This window comes from Homo sapiens, chromosome 2, assembly GCF_000001405.40.
Source record: "Homo sapiens chromosome 2, GRCh38.p14 Primary Assembly".
NCBI lineage: Eukaryota > Metazoa > Chordata > Mammalia > Primates > Hominidae > Homo > Homo sapiens.
Genome location: NC_000002.12, coordinates 111,292,772 through 111,307,877, shown reverse-complemented (window position 1 = coordinate 111,307,877; position 15,106 = coordinate 111,292,772). Strand labels below are relative to the sequence as shown.

Here is a 15,106-nt window from a genome sequence, read left to right as displayed (position 1 = left end):
CCTGGGTGACAGAGCAAGACTCCATCTCAATAATTAATTAATTAATTAATTAATTAATAGGGGTTTTCTGGATGAGTTTACCATTTAGATCAATAGACTGGGTCAAGCAGATTGCTACTGTGGTGGGCCTCATCCAATCAGTAGAGTCTTGGGTAGAACAAAAAGGCTGACCTTCTGAGGGCAAGAGGGAACTCTCCCCCTGCCTGAGTACCTTTGAACAGGGACACTGGTTCTTCCTGGGTTGGGAGCCTGCTGGCCTTGGAACAGGAGCTACACCATTGGGCCTTCTGGGCTCAGGCCTTTGGACTCCAACAAAGGCCTGTGTGAGAAATGATGTCAAGAACTGGTCAGTTCTCCTGGGTCTCCAGCTCGCTGGCTGCAGGCCTTAGAACTTGTCAGCCTCTGTAATCACATGAGCCAATTAATGCACATCCTACTCTTCTCTCGGCTCCGTTTCTCTGGGGGACCCTGACTAATCCAAGGTCCCACAGAACACAGGTGACTCCTTGAGGCTCACCTCTGTGGATGGGAGAGGCAGTTCCCAGACAAGGGAACATCATGAGTGGGGCAGACACCCACAGAGGCCTACAGTGGCCACTTCACTCCAGGAGCAGCACACCTAGCTGCAGGAACCCGAGCCCCAGTGACTAGCGCTCATGGGAAGGGCCTGCATCCCAGATATGTGATGACAGCCCATCCCAAAGGCCAGCTCAGAAAATGCTAGGATTTGCCTTCACCCCCAGTGGGGTCATGTGTATGAGGGGGGCAAGTGGGAAGGGAGACTTTGGACCTCAGGCCCTGCCCATCAGCCACCCCATGGCTGAGGGGTCACCCCCATAAGCTCTTGAATGCCAGCACAAGGCAGTCTGGGGAAACTTGGTGACGTGGACAGAGCCCCTCCTTCAGGGAAGTTTCTAGACTGGGCTATGTGCTTGGAGCCACTGTGCTGGGCACAGCCTCCCCCAGTTGACCATGGGCTCTCCACCATGTGCTCCTGCCTTAGAATCAGCCTCCTTCTCTGTAAGTGGAGATGGCCCTGGCGGCCCAGGTATGAGAGGCCCCAATCAATGGCACTTCTCCCATCCACCTCTGAGCTAGTGGGGAAATAAGACACAAGAGTGAGGCAGGAAAAGACCAAAGCAGCAACAGCCAGGGCCTCTTCCCAGTCCCCAGGGAGCCCCTCGGCCCCTACCCACTTTCAAGGCCAGCGATATAATAAGTTTGTTTTTGTTTTCCAAATAAAGGTTTATTTCTTTCTGCTTAATTCTTTTTCAAAAAATTTGATTTTATTGTGCTAAGAACACTTACCATGCAATCTCCCCTCTTAGCTGGTTTCTAGGGGCACAATACAGTCTTGTTAACTCTAGGCAGGTGCCATGCTTCATGGCCGGTCCCCAGGGCTTATTCATCTCACTGCACTGAAACTTGAGGCTCTTTGAGCAGCAGCTCTTCAGTCCCCTCCCCCAGCCCCTGGCAGGACCATGCTCCTGTCTGTTTCTGCGAGTTTCACTATTTTATATACGGCATGTTAGTGGAATCAAACAGTATTTTGTGTCTGCCTTCTTCACTTAGCATCATGTTCTCCAGATTGATCAATGTTGCAGCATGTGTCAGAGTTTCCTTCCTTTTTTTTGAGGCTGAATAATATTCCATTATTCCATTGCGTGAATACAACACATTTTCTTTATCCATTCATCTGTCGGTGGACATTTAGGTTGCTTCCACTTCTTGGCTATTGTAAATAGGCTTCTAGGAGCATAAGGATGCTGACTGTTTTGGATAAATACCCAGAAATGGGGTTGCTGGATCATATGGTAGTTCTCTTTTTAATTTGTGATACATTTCATCTCTCACTCTGGCGATGTCTGAGCTTCTCCCTTGATAGAGGTAGAAAGTTCCAGAGAGGCACAGGCAGGCCCGCAGTGAGAAGGCCTGAGCCTCCTTACCAGGGTATTTCTCCCCCACAGGCTGCCTCTCACTAACTGCACAGCTCAATCACACGTCCCTTCCCAGGGCTGCTGTGTGTCACACGCTCACACCCACACTCGCTCCATCTGTGCTGGGTCGAAGAGTGACCCTGTATCCACATCCATCCAGGACCTCAGAGTGTGACCCTACTTGGAAATAGGGTCTTTGCGGGTGTAACTCATTAAGATGAGGTCATACTCTTCATGTTGGATGGTCATAGTACATCAATGCCTGTTGTTCTTATGAAAGGAGAAAACAGCAGGGCCAGGTAGCTCATACCTGCAACCCCAGCAACTTGGGAGGCTGAGGTGGGAGGCTTGCTTGAGGTCAAGAATGTGAGACCAGCCTGGGAAACATAGCAAGACTCCATCTCTAAAACAATTTTAAAAATTAAAAAATTAGCTGGTGGCACATGCGTATAATCCCAGCTACTGGGGAGGCTGAGGCAGGAGGATTGCTGGAGCCCAGCTGGAGCTGCAGTGAGTCGTGATCACACTGCTGCCCTCTAGCCTGGGCCACAGAGCAAGACCACGTCTCTATAAATAAATAAATAAATAAATGTTTTAAAAAGAGAGCCAGGGTCTCTCTCTTCTCTCTCTCTCTCTCTCTCTCTCTCACACACACACACACACACACACACACACACACACACACACACGAGGGAATGTGGTATGGAGACAGAGGCAGAGATTGGAGTGACTCAGCCCCTCCAAAGAGTGCCAGGAATTGCAGGCAACCACCAGATTCAGGAGGAGGCAAGGAAGGACCCGCCCCTGCAAGTTTCAGTGGGACCATGACCCTGCCCCCACCTCGATCTTGCACTTGGAGCCTCCATAGCTGAGACAGAGTAAATTGCTGTTGTTGTTAGCCACTCAGTTGGTGGGCATTTGTTACTGCAGTCCTGGGAAACAAATGAGCTGTCCACTCACTCATATACAGCCTACTTCTATTTTACTGGTGCTTTCTGCTAACTCCTCTCCTTTCCATCTACATATTTCCTCCTTCCAGTTCTCCCTCACCTCCCTCAAGAGGGGCTCTGTGGCCAGGAAACTTTTAATGAGATCTGGAAAAAGTGTTACTTGCACATTAAATCCATTATTTTATGAATATCATGGCTTAAGACAAGCTGAAGTTTAAAAGTGAGTGATTTCAAGTTGATCAGAAGAAAAATATCAAGTAAATGGGGTGCATGGTGACACATGAGTTGCTGAAATTTGGGGAGCACTGGAATGCAAGAAACAGCACTGATTCAGGGTCTGTCTGTAATTCTGGGTCCAAATTCTGCTTTCCCTACTGGCACTGGGACACACAGGCATTGTTGAAGTACTGGACCCCAGATTTCTCTTCTGTAAAATGGAATCACAGGGTCTAAATTGGAGGCTTTCTCTGAAGGATGAGAATAAAGTTAGAATGAGAATGTTCCTAGCATGGTGCCTGGCATGAGCAGATTCTCAGCAGATGGGCCCTCCTGTAATCCGCTGAGGGCTCTCCTGCAGTGCCAGCAGGGATCCTAGTCATTGTCTCCACCACTCCTGTCTGTCTTCACCCAGAACCTTGTCTGGATCCTGGGAGGAAGCAAACATCTCCTGGTGGGAATGTGAGGCCCTGCCAGGTTGTAGGAGTAACTGGAAAAGGGCAGGTGGCCCTGCCCACTATGTGGGCACCTCATGATAAATGATGGCTCTCATTAGCCCTAACTCCTCGGGCACCTTCCTACCTGGCACCATTATGCTGGGACTACCCTCTCACTCTGGGAGCTTCACGATAAACCCATCTTGGCTTACCCTGGACGCCTGTCAGCTCCTGGCAGGGTGCAGGCCAGAGGGATACCTTTTGCACCATGAGATTGTGCAACTTGGGAGGCTGAGGCGGGAGGCTTGGTTGAGGCCAGGAGTGTTCTGGCAAGTTCACGGAAAGTTCTGGCAAGTAGGCAGGCCAGCCTCTTGCTTAGACAGTGCTAAAAGGATTCTTTTTCACTATCTGCCAGTAAGGAAAGTGGCCATCTTGTTCAGAGGACGGAGTGCAGCATCCACATACCTACCAGCATGAACTTGGTGAGCAGAGGCCACCTGCATCCCAGAGCCACAGGGTCCCTGGAGCTATTGGCTTCTTGCCTGGATACTTCCAGCATTCCCAGTTTCTGGAAGCTCTGGTTGCAGTGTGCCCTGGTTCTGTGGCACCCAGCAGGTCTGCAAGGGCAGCCAGTGGGTGTGAGTCTGGAGAGTGAACATCCCTATGAGAACTGACTCGTGACCCTGAGTTTATCACCAAGGGGCCTCTGCAGAGACAGGTCCTCAAATTAAGAGCCAGGCAAACCTGTAGAGAGAGAGGCTCTGGGGGTAGACTGGGAGGAGTGGAAGATGGTCAACTGTCCCCACGCACTTCACGAGGATTCTCCACCTCCCATGTCCCCTGGCATGGGGAGTGCAAGATAACAACAAAAAAAAGAGAAGGCAGTGAGCAGGACCCACTCTTCCTGCAGCTTCTGCACACTCTTCCTACAGCCCCAGCTGGGCCACCTGCACCAGTCTGTCTGCATCTGGGGTTGGGGTAGGTGGGTTCTGGCTGGTTTATGGAGAGCCTGCTCCTCCATGAGGTCCATATCTGTTATTTTTCCGCGGCATCAGCATAAGAGGTTTCTGGTTTTATGTATGTATTTTCTGGCTCTGGCTCCTGGTCTGCATTTGTATGCACAAGAAGGCATAAGAGAGATAGAGCACTGGATTTCCAGAGACATGTGTCTGGCAGCATTCGGGAAAATAACATTATAGCCTAGGAATCCCATCACACATATGTGCACACATGCCCACATGCAGGATCATGGTATGTTGGTGGTGGTGCAGTTCGTGCCCATGAAGGAAATTGAAAACACTTGTTGGAGAGAAAACCCAGTCGCTGGCATACTATTCCCATCACGGAAGAGGCAGAGCCTATGATTGGTGCCTCACTGAATCACAGGAAGTGTTTTATTTTATCCCCACATCATGATGGAGGGCCACAGCTGCCAGCTATGTCTATTTCTTATGCACAATATAGACCACAAGAGAGAATAAAACAACCTCAAAACTACAGTGTGGAAAAAAACCTGTCAGCTAGAAAGGGGGAGAAGGTATCTCCAGGAGCCAAGAAAATCTCTTCAAGGAAAAATAAAAAAAGTAACCCACTTTACTTTTTCCCCAAACTGACAAATTTGACTTGTCAGATGTAAGTTTAACTTGTGGACAATCCACTCAAGACTGATAATCGCCATAGTAACTGCTGTGTCACATGATCACACAGAAACCTAGAGACGGGGAGAGTGGCTTTCCAGGCCACTTTTCTTCTGGTAAATTCTGTGATGTCAGCCTAATTAGCAGGAGTGGAATCAGGACCTTGGTTGAAGTAATTGGCAGCCCTTCTTTAAAAAGAACAAAGGTATTTTAGCACCTTCTCTTCCTATTTATGGGGGCCTGTGCCAGGACCAACAGGGCTCTGGTGCGGAGTCTTCCTCACCCTTCTTCCTAACTGGCCAAGCTCCAAGCAGTGCCTCTAAATGTGATTCTTTGTAGAGCCATGTCTGGAGAAAAACTCGAATTTATCTCCTGAAGTTTTCAAAATATCAGAAACTGGTGAGAGAGGGGGCCGGGAATACATTTCAGGGCTATCCCAATTCTTTTCAATTAGTATTGTACATTTCAACTTCTTTCATTTCCAACTGCTTCTCCCTGCAAAATAAAGGTATCATGTCTTTAAAGCTCTCCGTCCATGACAACATTTTGTTCTTATACTAGAAAATGCCATTCCCTTCCCAAGGCACATCTCTTTTAGTTGGGTTTAATTTGAGATGCCTCTTGCCTGCTAAAAACATTGGTGACTTGCCCCAGCAAGGAGGTGACAGGGCCACTTGTCCATGTTGGCCCCCTCCAGTGGGACTGAGTGGCCACCACCCCCAGTGGCTGCCTTTCACAGGAAGAGAACTGCCTTCTTCACCGCCGGGCATCGGCCTGTGGAAATCTGTGCCCAGACAGCTCAGGTGGCAGCTTATCCAAGTCCCCAGCACTCTGCTTTGTCTGCCCCAGGACAATTGCCCCATTGTCTTCAGGCTAATGAAGTTTCTGGTCAAAACACAATGATTTCAAACATCTCTTGAGCCTCTCTGCCCTCCATCTGGAACAGATGAGTACATCAATCCCTTCAAACCTGCCTCCTCCAAGTGCATTCTGCAGAGTTAGTGTGTGGGGGTGCATTTTAATCAACCACGTTGGCCAATGCTGCCTACCTGGAGTGACCCCAACCCCCAACTAAACTGTGAGCTGTGGAAATGAACAAAAGCCAGCCAAATGAGGAGCAAAGGCTATTTATTCAGAGCTTGTGCTAGCGAGGGAGTCAGCCACCATCCCTTGTGTTTTGGCAGAAACTCAGAGGCAGGTAGGGGAGTGGGAAAGCCTCAAAGAAGAAAGAAAGGAAGCCTTCGGGTTGCCCTGAGTGGAGGGTGTTGGCCTGGGGAAAATGAAGGTGGCTATAAGAAATGAGACTCCCATGTGATTGGTTAGGGAGCATGTTTGGCTTTCTTTCATTGGTCCTAAGTTGGAAGTGGGGACAAAAACCTAGGGAATCAGGCTGGGCATGGTGGCTCATGCGTGTAATCCCAGCACTTTGGGAGGCTGAAGTGGGCAGATCACTTGAGGTCAGGAGTTTGAGACCAGCCTGGCCAACATGTTGAAACCCCGTCTCTACTAAATATACAAAAAATTAGCTGGGCATGGTGGTGTGCACCTGTAATCCCAGCTACTCAGGATACTGAGGTGGCAGAATCGCTCGAACCCAGGAGGCGGAGGTTGCAGTGAGCTGAGATCATGCTGCTGCACTCCAGCCTGGGGGACAGAGCAAGACTCCATCTCAAAACAAAAACAAAACAAAACAAAAAAACCTAAGGAATCGGTCAGTTATTAATCGAGTCCTAGAATTTTGGGGCTGATTGCTATAGGAGCTGTTGTTTGGCTTCTGGGCTGATTGCTACAGATTGCGGGTCAGAGTCCTGTCTTTCTATATGGTCTTGACATTGTCTGTATATTGACTCTCTCAGTGTGTACAGGCTGTCTTCTCCCAGCCTGCTTAAAATTAATGAGAGTTTGAACAGACGCGTGTGTGGAGGGCACATCATCATTAGTACAAATAGCCACAGATGGAAATTCTGCGTGCCTTTGAGAAAACTGAGTTTGAGAGGCTCTACCTCAACAGCTTCCTCAGCCCAGCTGAAGTCTCTCTCCCTGAAGGCCCATGCACCTTTCTCAGCCATTGCTGGGAATTCAGGATTGTGTGTTGGAGGCCAACATTGGGTACCATGAGTGGAAACCATGAACTGGGGCAAGTCCTCCTGGTACACACACCCAGCTACTTTTTCCTTCCTCTTCTGCCCTATCCCAGGGAACCCTCTTTGCAGCATCTCACCCACTGGCCAAACTTCAGGGTCTTGTCTTCATACTTACTGCTTTTTTCTAAGGGAAAAGTTATTGAGAAGGCAGTCAAGGTTCATTTATTTTTAACCAGGAGACAGTGCCCCCAAACAAGAACTGAGTCCCTAGTTATGGAATGTCAGACACCTCGCAGCAGGTGGTGGTTCTGAAACACCCGGATCCAGATGGCAGCCAACTCCACCCACATGTCAGGCGGGCGACAGCATTTCCGGACATATTCCTTGTTTAGATGAGGAGATTCTGCCCCCAGTAACATTCCTTCAAGCAGCAAAATGATGCTAGATCTTTCCAGAGGTCACAGACTGAAGGCTTGGGGGCTACAGTCTGGAATGTGTTTTGCTTGGCACACATGCATTTTAAGTTGTTTAATGACCTATCAAGATTTAAAGATCAGGAGCTGACCTTTCATGTTAAAAAGAAAATCTATATTTTCCAACTTGTCTTGGAAAATGGGATGCTCTGGAAACACTTGGCCATCTTCCCACCTGCAGATGCTCAGCAGAATGGCAGCTGCCCTGTGGAGAGGAAGCACCTGTTCCCTTCCTTGCCACTCTCCCTGGCTGGCCTGCAGTTTTCTCCTGTGTGTCACAGTTATGGACTGACTGCTTGTGTCCTGCCAAATTCATATGTTGAAATCCTAACCCCCAAGGTGATCATATTAGGAGATGAGGCCTTTGGGAAGTGATGAGGTCACGAGGGTGGAGCCCTCATGAATGGGATTAGCGCCCTTATGAAAGAGACCCCAGAGAGCTCTCTCACTCTCTTTCCACCATGCAAGAAAATGAGATGTTAAAGTCTTCAACCTGGAAGAGGGTCCCTGCCAGAATCCGGCCATGCTGGGACCTGATCTTGGACTTTTGAGAACTGTGAGAAGTAATTTTCAGTTGTTTACAAGTCATCCCATCAATGGTATTCCACTATGGCAGTCCAAACTGACTAGGTGACTCACCTTCTTGGCCCAGTGGGCATTTGATCCAGAATAACTCATTACTGTCTGAGGAAATTCCCACTGTCTCTTTTCCCAGAAGTTTTTGTTTCTGGTGGCTTCTTGGGGGATTCCAGGCACAGTAGGGCCAAGCAATGGGTATAGAGTGACCCTACACCTTTGACTTGGCCTCCTGTGGACTTAGATGGATGGGTGTGTTTCCTAGGAGCCCTCTTTCCTGTCCTCAACCCTTTTCCCATGAGAAATGCCTCTTCTTGCCTCAGAAACAAACGAAGGGGTCAGTGTCTGCCAATGTCTGCTCAGCCCAGAGTGAATGTCTGTGAGATTCAGTGTGAATGTGCTGGTTGCCTGCTACAGATCAGGCTTGGCAGGTGGTGGTAGGTGGTTAAGGTTCCAGTTTCAGCATCAAGTGTGAGTTGTTACTGCTCAGAGTCTCAGTTTTCTCATCTGTAAAATGGGAAGATTCCTAGCTCTCAAATTTATAAGGCTCCACTGGCCGTGTGTAAAATGTGGCATTTAGGGGATACTGTTGGCTGTTAACTATATCCGCCAGGACAGGCTGGTTATGCTCTGGTAAAAAATAAACCCAAACTCAATGTCTGCGCCCAGCACACATTTATCTCTTGTGCATGCTATATGGCCATCTTGACTCAGCAGGGTTCTATTCTCTGTCACCTTTACTTAGGAGTGTTGGTTGGAAGAATCCCCCAAAGTAGTGCCATCAGTCTCTGTGGCAGGGGAAAGGGGACATGGTGTATCAAGCCTTGGGCTTGCAGGTCTGTTCCCAGAAGAGACGTCATTACCGCAACTCACGTTTCATTGGCCAAAGTGAGTCACAAGCCAAGTTTAACTTCAAGGAGCATGCCCCCAAGCCTCTGATTCTAAGTGCTACCGTCTTAACACATTTGAGCTCCTGTAACAAAATGCCATAAGCTGGGTGACTTATAAACAAGAGAAATTATTTCTCCCAGTTCTGGAGGCTGGAAAGTCCAAGACCAAGGCACTGGCAGATTTGGTTTCTAATGAGAACCTATTTCCTGGTTTATAGATGGTGCCTTCTTGCTGTATCATTACACGGTGGAAGGGGCAAACAAACTCTCTGGGGCCTCTTTTATAAGGGCACTGATCCCATTAATGACAGCTCTGCCTTTATGACCTAATCACCTTCCAGAGCCCCCACCTCCTAATGCCCTCACTGGGGGCTAGGTTTCTCCATATGAATTCTGGGGGGACACAAACATTCAGACCATGGCAGCGCTCTCTTCCCTCACAGCGTGGCTGGCTCTCCAACTACAACACCATGCCCCATGGCTCACTTCCAAGGAGACTTTCTGGAGAGGTTTGTCCTAAGAGACAGAAGAATGCATCCTGCCTCAAGTTTTAGTTGCATAGGTTCACCCTACAGTGAGGTAATAGTTACACATTCTTAATGAAAAGATCCAAAAGCCCAATACATCCTGTTCTGCAGCATATAAAGCATCTTCTTCAGACCTGGTCCAAGACTACTCTGGGATTTTTGAGTCAGAAGAGAGCCAGAGCCTATTCAGTATGCTGTTTGACTCTGATCCCAGCAGCCACCACCATGTTAACAGGATGAGCAGGGCTTCCTTCAACTCAGGGTTCCTGTGAAATTAAAAAGAATTCTCATCTTGACTCAGGATTGTTGAACACTATTGATATTTCTTCCAAGGTCTCACAAGAGTTTGCCTCCTCTCATTGCCATGTGAAGACCTCTGTGGGGGAACAATGCATGGGTTCTTGGGGTATTATAGGGGACTACAGAGAAGTGTCACCTCCACCCAACAGCCTGATTCAGTCTACTCCTCAGGAGGAACACAAAGTGGTCTCTCTAGTGCCATGAAACCCCAAAAAGTGTCAACCAGTATTAAAGGCCTGCCTGATATACAACCCTCGAATGCAACACAGTGTCCTTCTGAGGCCACTCTAAAGGCCAGGAAAGGTTTGCTAAGAAGTCTGTGCTGTTAAAAACAGAAGAAAAAGACCCTTATCCCATTGCTCTGTGTCTGGTGGCTATAGGGATAGTATTTCATAAAAAAAGAAAGGCAAAAATAATTTTCAAAAATGATTCAAGAAATGCTGTCAAAGATAGCAAAGAACAGAGTCCTCAGAGAACAGTGCCCAGGACAGGATAAGCACTCAATAACATATAACACTGTGTAGTGCTGTTGAGTGCTGGCTGTTGTTGAGTGCTAGCTATTGTTGAGTGCTTGTTGTTGAGTGCTAGCTGCTGAGTGCTAGCTGTTGTTGAGTGCTTGTTGTTGAGTGCTAGCTGTTGTTGAGTGCTTGTTGTTGAGTGCTAGCTGTTGTTGAGTGATTGTTGTTGAGTGCTAGCTGTTGTTGAGTGCTAGCTGTTGTTGAGTGCTAGCTGTTGTTGAGTGCTTGTTGTTGAGTGCTAGCTGTTGTTGAGTGCTTGTCCTGCCTGGGCCCTGTTTTTAGCCTTTGATGTACATTTCTCCATTTAACTTCCACAATAGCCCTATTAGGCAGCTAGTATTATTATTTCTGTTTTACAGATAAAGATTGGTTTTAGCTCAGAGTAGTTCTGAATCTTATAAAAAGAAAAAAATATCCCCAGGAACTGAATCGGCTCCAAAATAGCCCCATCTTGGGCTAAATATGGGATGTGACAAAGCCACCATGAAGCTAGGCCCCCCTGTCCTGACAGCTTTCCACCCCTTCCCTGCCCCTCTCACCCTGCTTTCCAGGGGCAATGCACCTCCCCACTTCTCCTGGGAGGGGTGGGCATCCTCTCAGTCCCATAATCTGTGCCAGGCCCACATATGAGGACTTGACAGGATTCAGCAGAGATGCAGGCCTCTGCTCTGCTCTGCTCATCTCTTTGCATATAGTAATTTAATGAGGACAAAAACTGCATAGAGCTAGTAATGGCACGACCAAGCAGCAGCTTAAGCTTTGAGCCGCTAAACTATGCTGCCTCCTATTGTAATACGATTATATTATAACCCAAGTTCAAGAGACCACCCACTGCTTTCTTTATTGGATCTTCCAATAAAGTGGCCATGCTAGTAGCACAATTCCCCACGGAAATAGATAATGACTATTCTAAAATAAATCCGAGGACACACCCAGCCACAAAGTGGGAGGTGTATTATACAAATGCAACCAGGGCCTCTGGATCTGGCATTTAGACCCACAGCAACAGCTTGTGTTTGCTCAGGGCTAAGAATGCAGGACTCAGACACTGAGAGCCTCTGAGCTGCTGCAAACTCATCAACCCCTCCCTATTAAAGGCCATTCTGACTACCCTCAGTTTTCCTCAAAGAGCAGTTGAGAGCTAAGGTAGGGTAGGGAGCCAAGAGGAGGCAGGGAGAGCCAGAGATGGCAGCCGGCAACAGGACACAGAAAGAAAAGGGACTTCAAAGGCAGATCTAAGAACTCACAGGGCTTTTTGGTGCAGAGTCTGGAGATAATGCACAGAAATGACACCTTGAAAGGGGAAGGAAAAGAAGGAAGAACACATCATCAGCCCCGGACTTCAGGTGGCTGAAGGAGAGAATGTATTTGGCATCTACCATATCTTTGCATCCTTCAATGACACATTTGTCCATGTCACTGATCTTTCTGGCAAAAAAAAAAAAAAAAAAAAAATGTGCTGTGTGACTGGTGGGATGAAGGTAAAGGGTGGCCAGATGAATCCTCTCCACATGCTGCCACGCTGGCCACCCAGGATGTGGCCTAGAGGTGCAAGGAGCCAGACACCACTGGCCTACATCAAACTCCAGGCCACAGATGGAAATAGGACTGAGATCCCTGGACCTGGGGCCTGCTCAGGTATGAAGATCAGGTGGATTGAGGATGTCACTGCCATCCCCTCCAAAAGCACCTGCAGGAAGGGGGTTGCCATGGTCACCATCTGTGAACAGGACTCCTCAAAATGTTTTCTATTAATAAATTGCCTTCAAGTAAACTGAAAAAAAAAAAAGAGGGAGAGAATTCACACAAAATGATGCCCAGTCTTGGTCTGCATGGTGAAGGGCCCAGGACTGATGGGCGGGGGCTCATTTGCATACCACAACACCAGGGAGAGTCCTGTCACCTGCCCTCCTGAGTCCTGAAGAAAACCCTTCACCCCAATTCCCTGTACACTACTTCTAAAGGCAGGAAATGTGTACAGTTCTAGAATTACAGTCACATAAAATGCTAGAAGAATAACGTGATTTATTTAAGTGCTTAGAGGTACCCCCTTGAAGTTTGTGTTACCTGGAAGTTGGCCTCGGGGAAACACCTCATTGACCTTCTCTCAAGGATAAATGAGATGCAGGGACAGGGAAGGGAGAAAGGTTATTTTAACATTTCATTCACAGTCCCTGGGATTCTTTGGAGAGCACCTTAGGAATGTTCTTAACCTGAGTCCTCTTACTAAGTATTATCACATAGTCTGCCAGGCTGGCATTATTAACCCTACTTTGCAGCTGAGGCAACTACAAGAGATGACCCTATCGGGCTAGTGAAGTGGAATTCGCCATGTACTGCATGCAGTCATGTACTGCAGTGACCAATCCGGGTCTAATTTCTTTGATGATATCATTGACGGGGTAGCAGGGGAGAGGCAAGTGCAAGAGAAGAAACGGGGTGAAACCCACTGCAGGGAAGCTTGGGCTGGGGCAGGATCGGGGAGCCAGGGTATGGGGCATGGTTGGGACTGAAACCCTTGTTAACACTGGCTTTAGCAAAAGAAATGGGCACCACAATCCCAGAGGACTTCCAGAAGCTTCCTCCCTCCCCCGCACCTGGGCACAGAGCCTTACCTCCCCTGCACCCTGGCCCTGTCTCTCTATTTGGCAAGACTCCCATGTCATCTGCTCCTCTTTACTTCGGGTCCCTCTTGGCACTGGAAATACTAAGTGAACCCAGCAGTTACACAGGATTCTAGGAATTTCTCCTTTCCAACTTCCTGAACTGGTTTTCTAATTCACCTCAGAGGTACCTTAACAAATCATGTTCCAAGGCCGGGCACAGTGGCTCACGCCTGTAATCCCAGCACTTTGGGAGGTCGAGGCAGGAGGACCTCCTGAGCCCAGGAGTTCAAGACCAGCCTGGGCAACATAGTGAGACCGTGTCTCTACAAAAAATAAAAGAATTATCCTGGTGTGGTGGTGTGTGCCACTGCACTCCAGCCTGGATGAAAGTGAGAGATCTCTTTCGAAAAACTCACGCTCCACACAATCAGGAGGTCCGCCATCCACAGACTCCAGACAGATAGTTCCATCAGCCAGCAGGAGCGGCATGGGCAACGTCAGTAGCATGCACATCAGGTTAGCTTCTCTGAGGTCACAAAGTTGCCTGGAAGTGGGGAATCCATGAGGGCCAGGCCCTCCACAGGAGGAGGACTTCCCTCTCCAGTCACCGGCCTCCCTGATGTGGTTCCCTCCTCTCAGCCCACATGCTCCTGCCGAGGTAACATGTCCCCCCACTCCAGGTTAGAAAACCATAAAGCCCCCAAGAGACGTTTCTACCAATCATCTAAATATTGAGTTTCACCTTATAAAATTTATAAAACGTAAAGAACACTTGGAACAGCCCAGTTTTAATGCCTCCAACTTTTGTTTTCCAAAGAACAATTGGTAGACTTGGCCCCGAGGGGAGCAGAGCCCGGCTCTCAGACAACGAGCCTCACCAGCAATTCTGTATCTTCGAGGCGGCAGAGGTTTTTGTGATCTTGTGTCATTTCTAAACACGACGGTGTAGATGGGATCCTCTTCATTTTGCAAATGAGAAAATGGAAAAACCCGAGGGACAAAGGGCCTCTCTCAAGGTGCCATGGTGAGAAGGAGGCAGAAGGAAGAGGACCTCGCCCCTGCCTTGATTCCACTGACTGCTGTTTATCACACCATGAGTGTCTTCAGGGAGCAGTCGTTCTCCCGCTGGAATGTTTACATGAGGAGCAAATGTGATGCCATCACATAATTCCAGTGAGGGCTGGTCATCCCCTGCAAGGCTGAAATGACCCTGTCTGTTTTAATGCTAAGGAAGCAGCAGCTTTTCTCCCACTCCCACACAGGATGTGTGCAGCATCTTCAAGTCTCTGCCTCGCGTTTCTAGATCTGTAGTGAGCTCTCCATGGTCAGGGAGTGGATCTTTCAGTTGGGTATTTTTCTGAAGCAACTGTCATTCTTTGCTTTTTGTAGCAAGACATGTTTTTAAAATCCTCTGAGAGAGAAAGAGGGTTGCCAGAAAAGGAATGAAGAGTGGGAGAAAGGTGCATTGTGGAGCTGTCTGAGCGTTGGAGTATGTCCCAATAACGAAGAGACTGTGGAGAAGCATCCCCTGTCCCGCTCCGTGTTCTAAATGTATGAAACCTAACAAGGTAATTGCATGGGAATAACACACTGTGAATGTTATGTGGGATTTGAAATTGTCATCCCAAGAGTGACCAGGTGGAGAGAGGAAGGGTGAACTCTTTCAGTCTAAAAGCTATGTTTTAAAAGGCAGGGTTAGACTATGTTTGTTTCTGCAGTGTATTTTCTCTGCATAAAGGGCTTTTTTTCCTACTTTTTCTGCTGGTGGACGTTTCCCTTGGGGGAGCCTGGCCAATGAAAGGTCACACAGAGACCAGTCACTCTCAGGAACACCAGCAGAGCCGGGCAGACACATGTCCTAATTTTCCCAGGAGCAGACTGATTGAACCATAGGAGGGTCTGTCTGATGTTTATCTTGGCAGAATTCTCAGATGAGTTAGCAAATAGTGGCTGGA

At 48.2% G+C, this 15,106-nt stretch overlaps 1 long non-coding RNA gene and 1 pseudogene across 7 annotated transcripts in view, besides 3 other annotated features; both read left to right on the top strand.

Annotated features, from left to right (window-relative positions):
• Positions 1-15,106, top strand: part of MIR4435-2HG (MIR4435-2 host gene) — a 299,296-nt gene that overhangs the window by 187,284 nt on the left and 96,906 nt on the right. The gene's annotated exons all lie outside the window — the stretch shown is intronic.
• Positions 2,154-2,654: an enhancer, noted in NCBI's record as "NANOG-H3K4me1 hESC enhancer chr2:112062801-112063301 (GRCh37/hg19 assembly coordinates)". NCBI's record gives its function as "activates a minimal SCP1, AML or CMV promoter by ChIP-STARR-seq in primed H9 embryonic stem cells {active_cell/tissue: H9 hESC(primed)}" and the evidence as "EXISTENCE:reporter gene assay evidence [ECO:0000049][PMID:30033119]".
• Positions 2,655-3,155: an enhancer, noted in NCBI's record as "NANOG-H3K4me1 hESC enhancer chr2:112062300-112062800 (GRCh37/hg19 assembly coordinates)". NCBI's record gives its function as "activates a minimal SCP1, AML or CMV promoter by ChIP-STARR-seq in primed H9 embryonic stem cells {active_cell/tissue: H9 hESC(primed)}" and the evidence as "EXISTENCE:reporter gene assay evidence [ECO:0000049][PMID:30033119]".
• Positions 5,933-6,433: an enhancer, noted in NCBI's record as "H3K4me1 hESC enhancer chr2:112059022-112059522 (GRCh37/hg19 assembly coordinates)". NCBI's record gives its function as "activates a minimal SCP1, AML or CMV promoter by ChIP-STARR-seq in primed H9 embryonic stem cells {active_cell/tissue: H9 hESC(primed)}" and the evidence as "EXISTENCE:reporter gene assay evidence [ECO:0000049][PMID:30033119]".
• RPS14P4 (ribosomal protein S14 pseudogene 4) lies at positions 11,797-12,322 on the top strand (annotated as a pseudogene).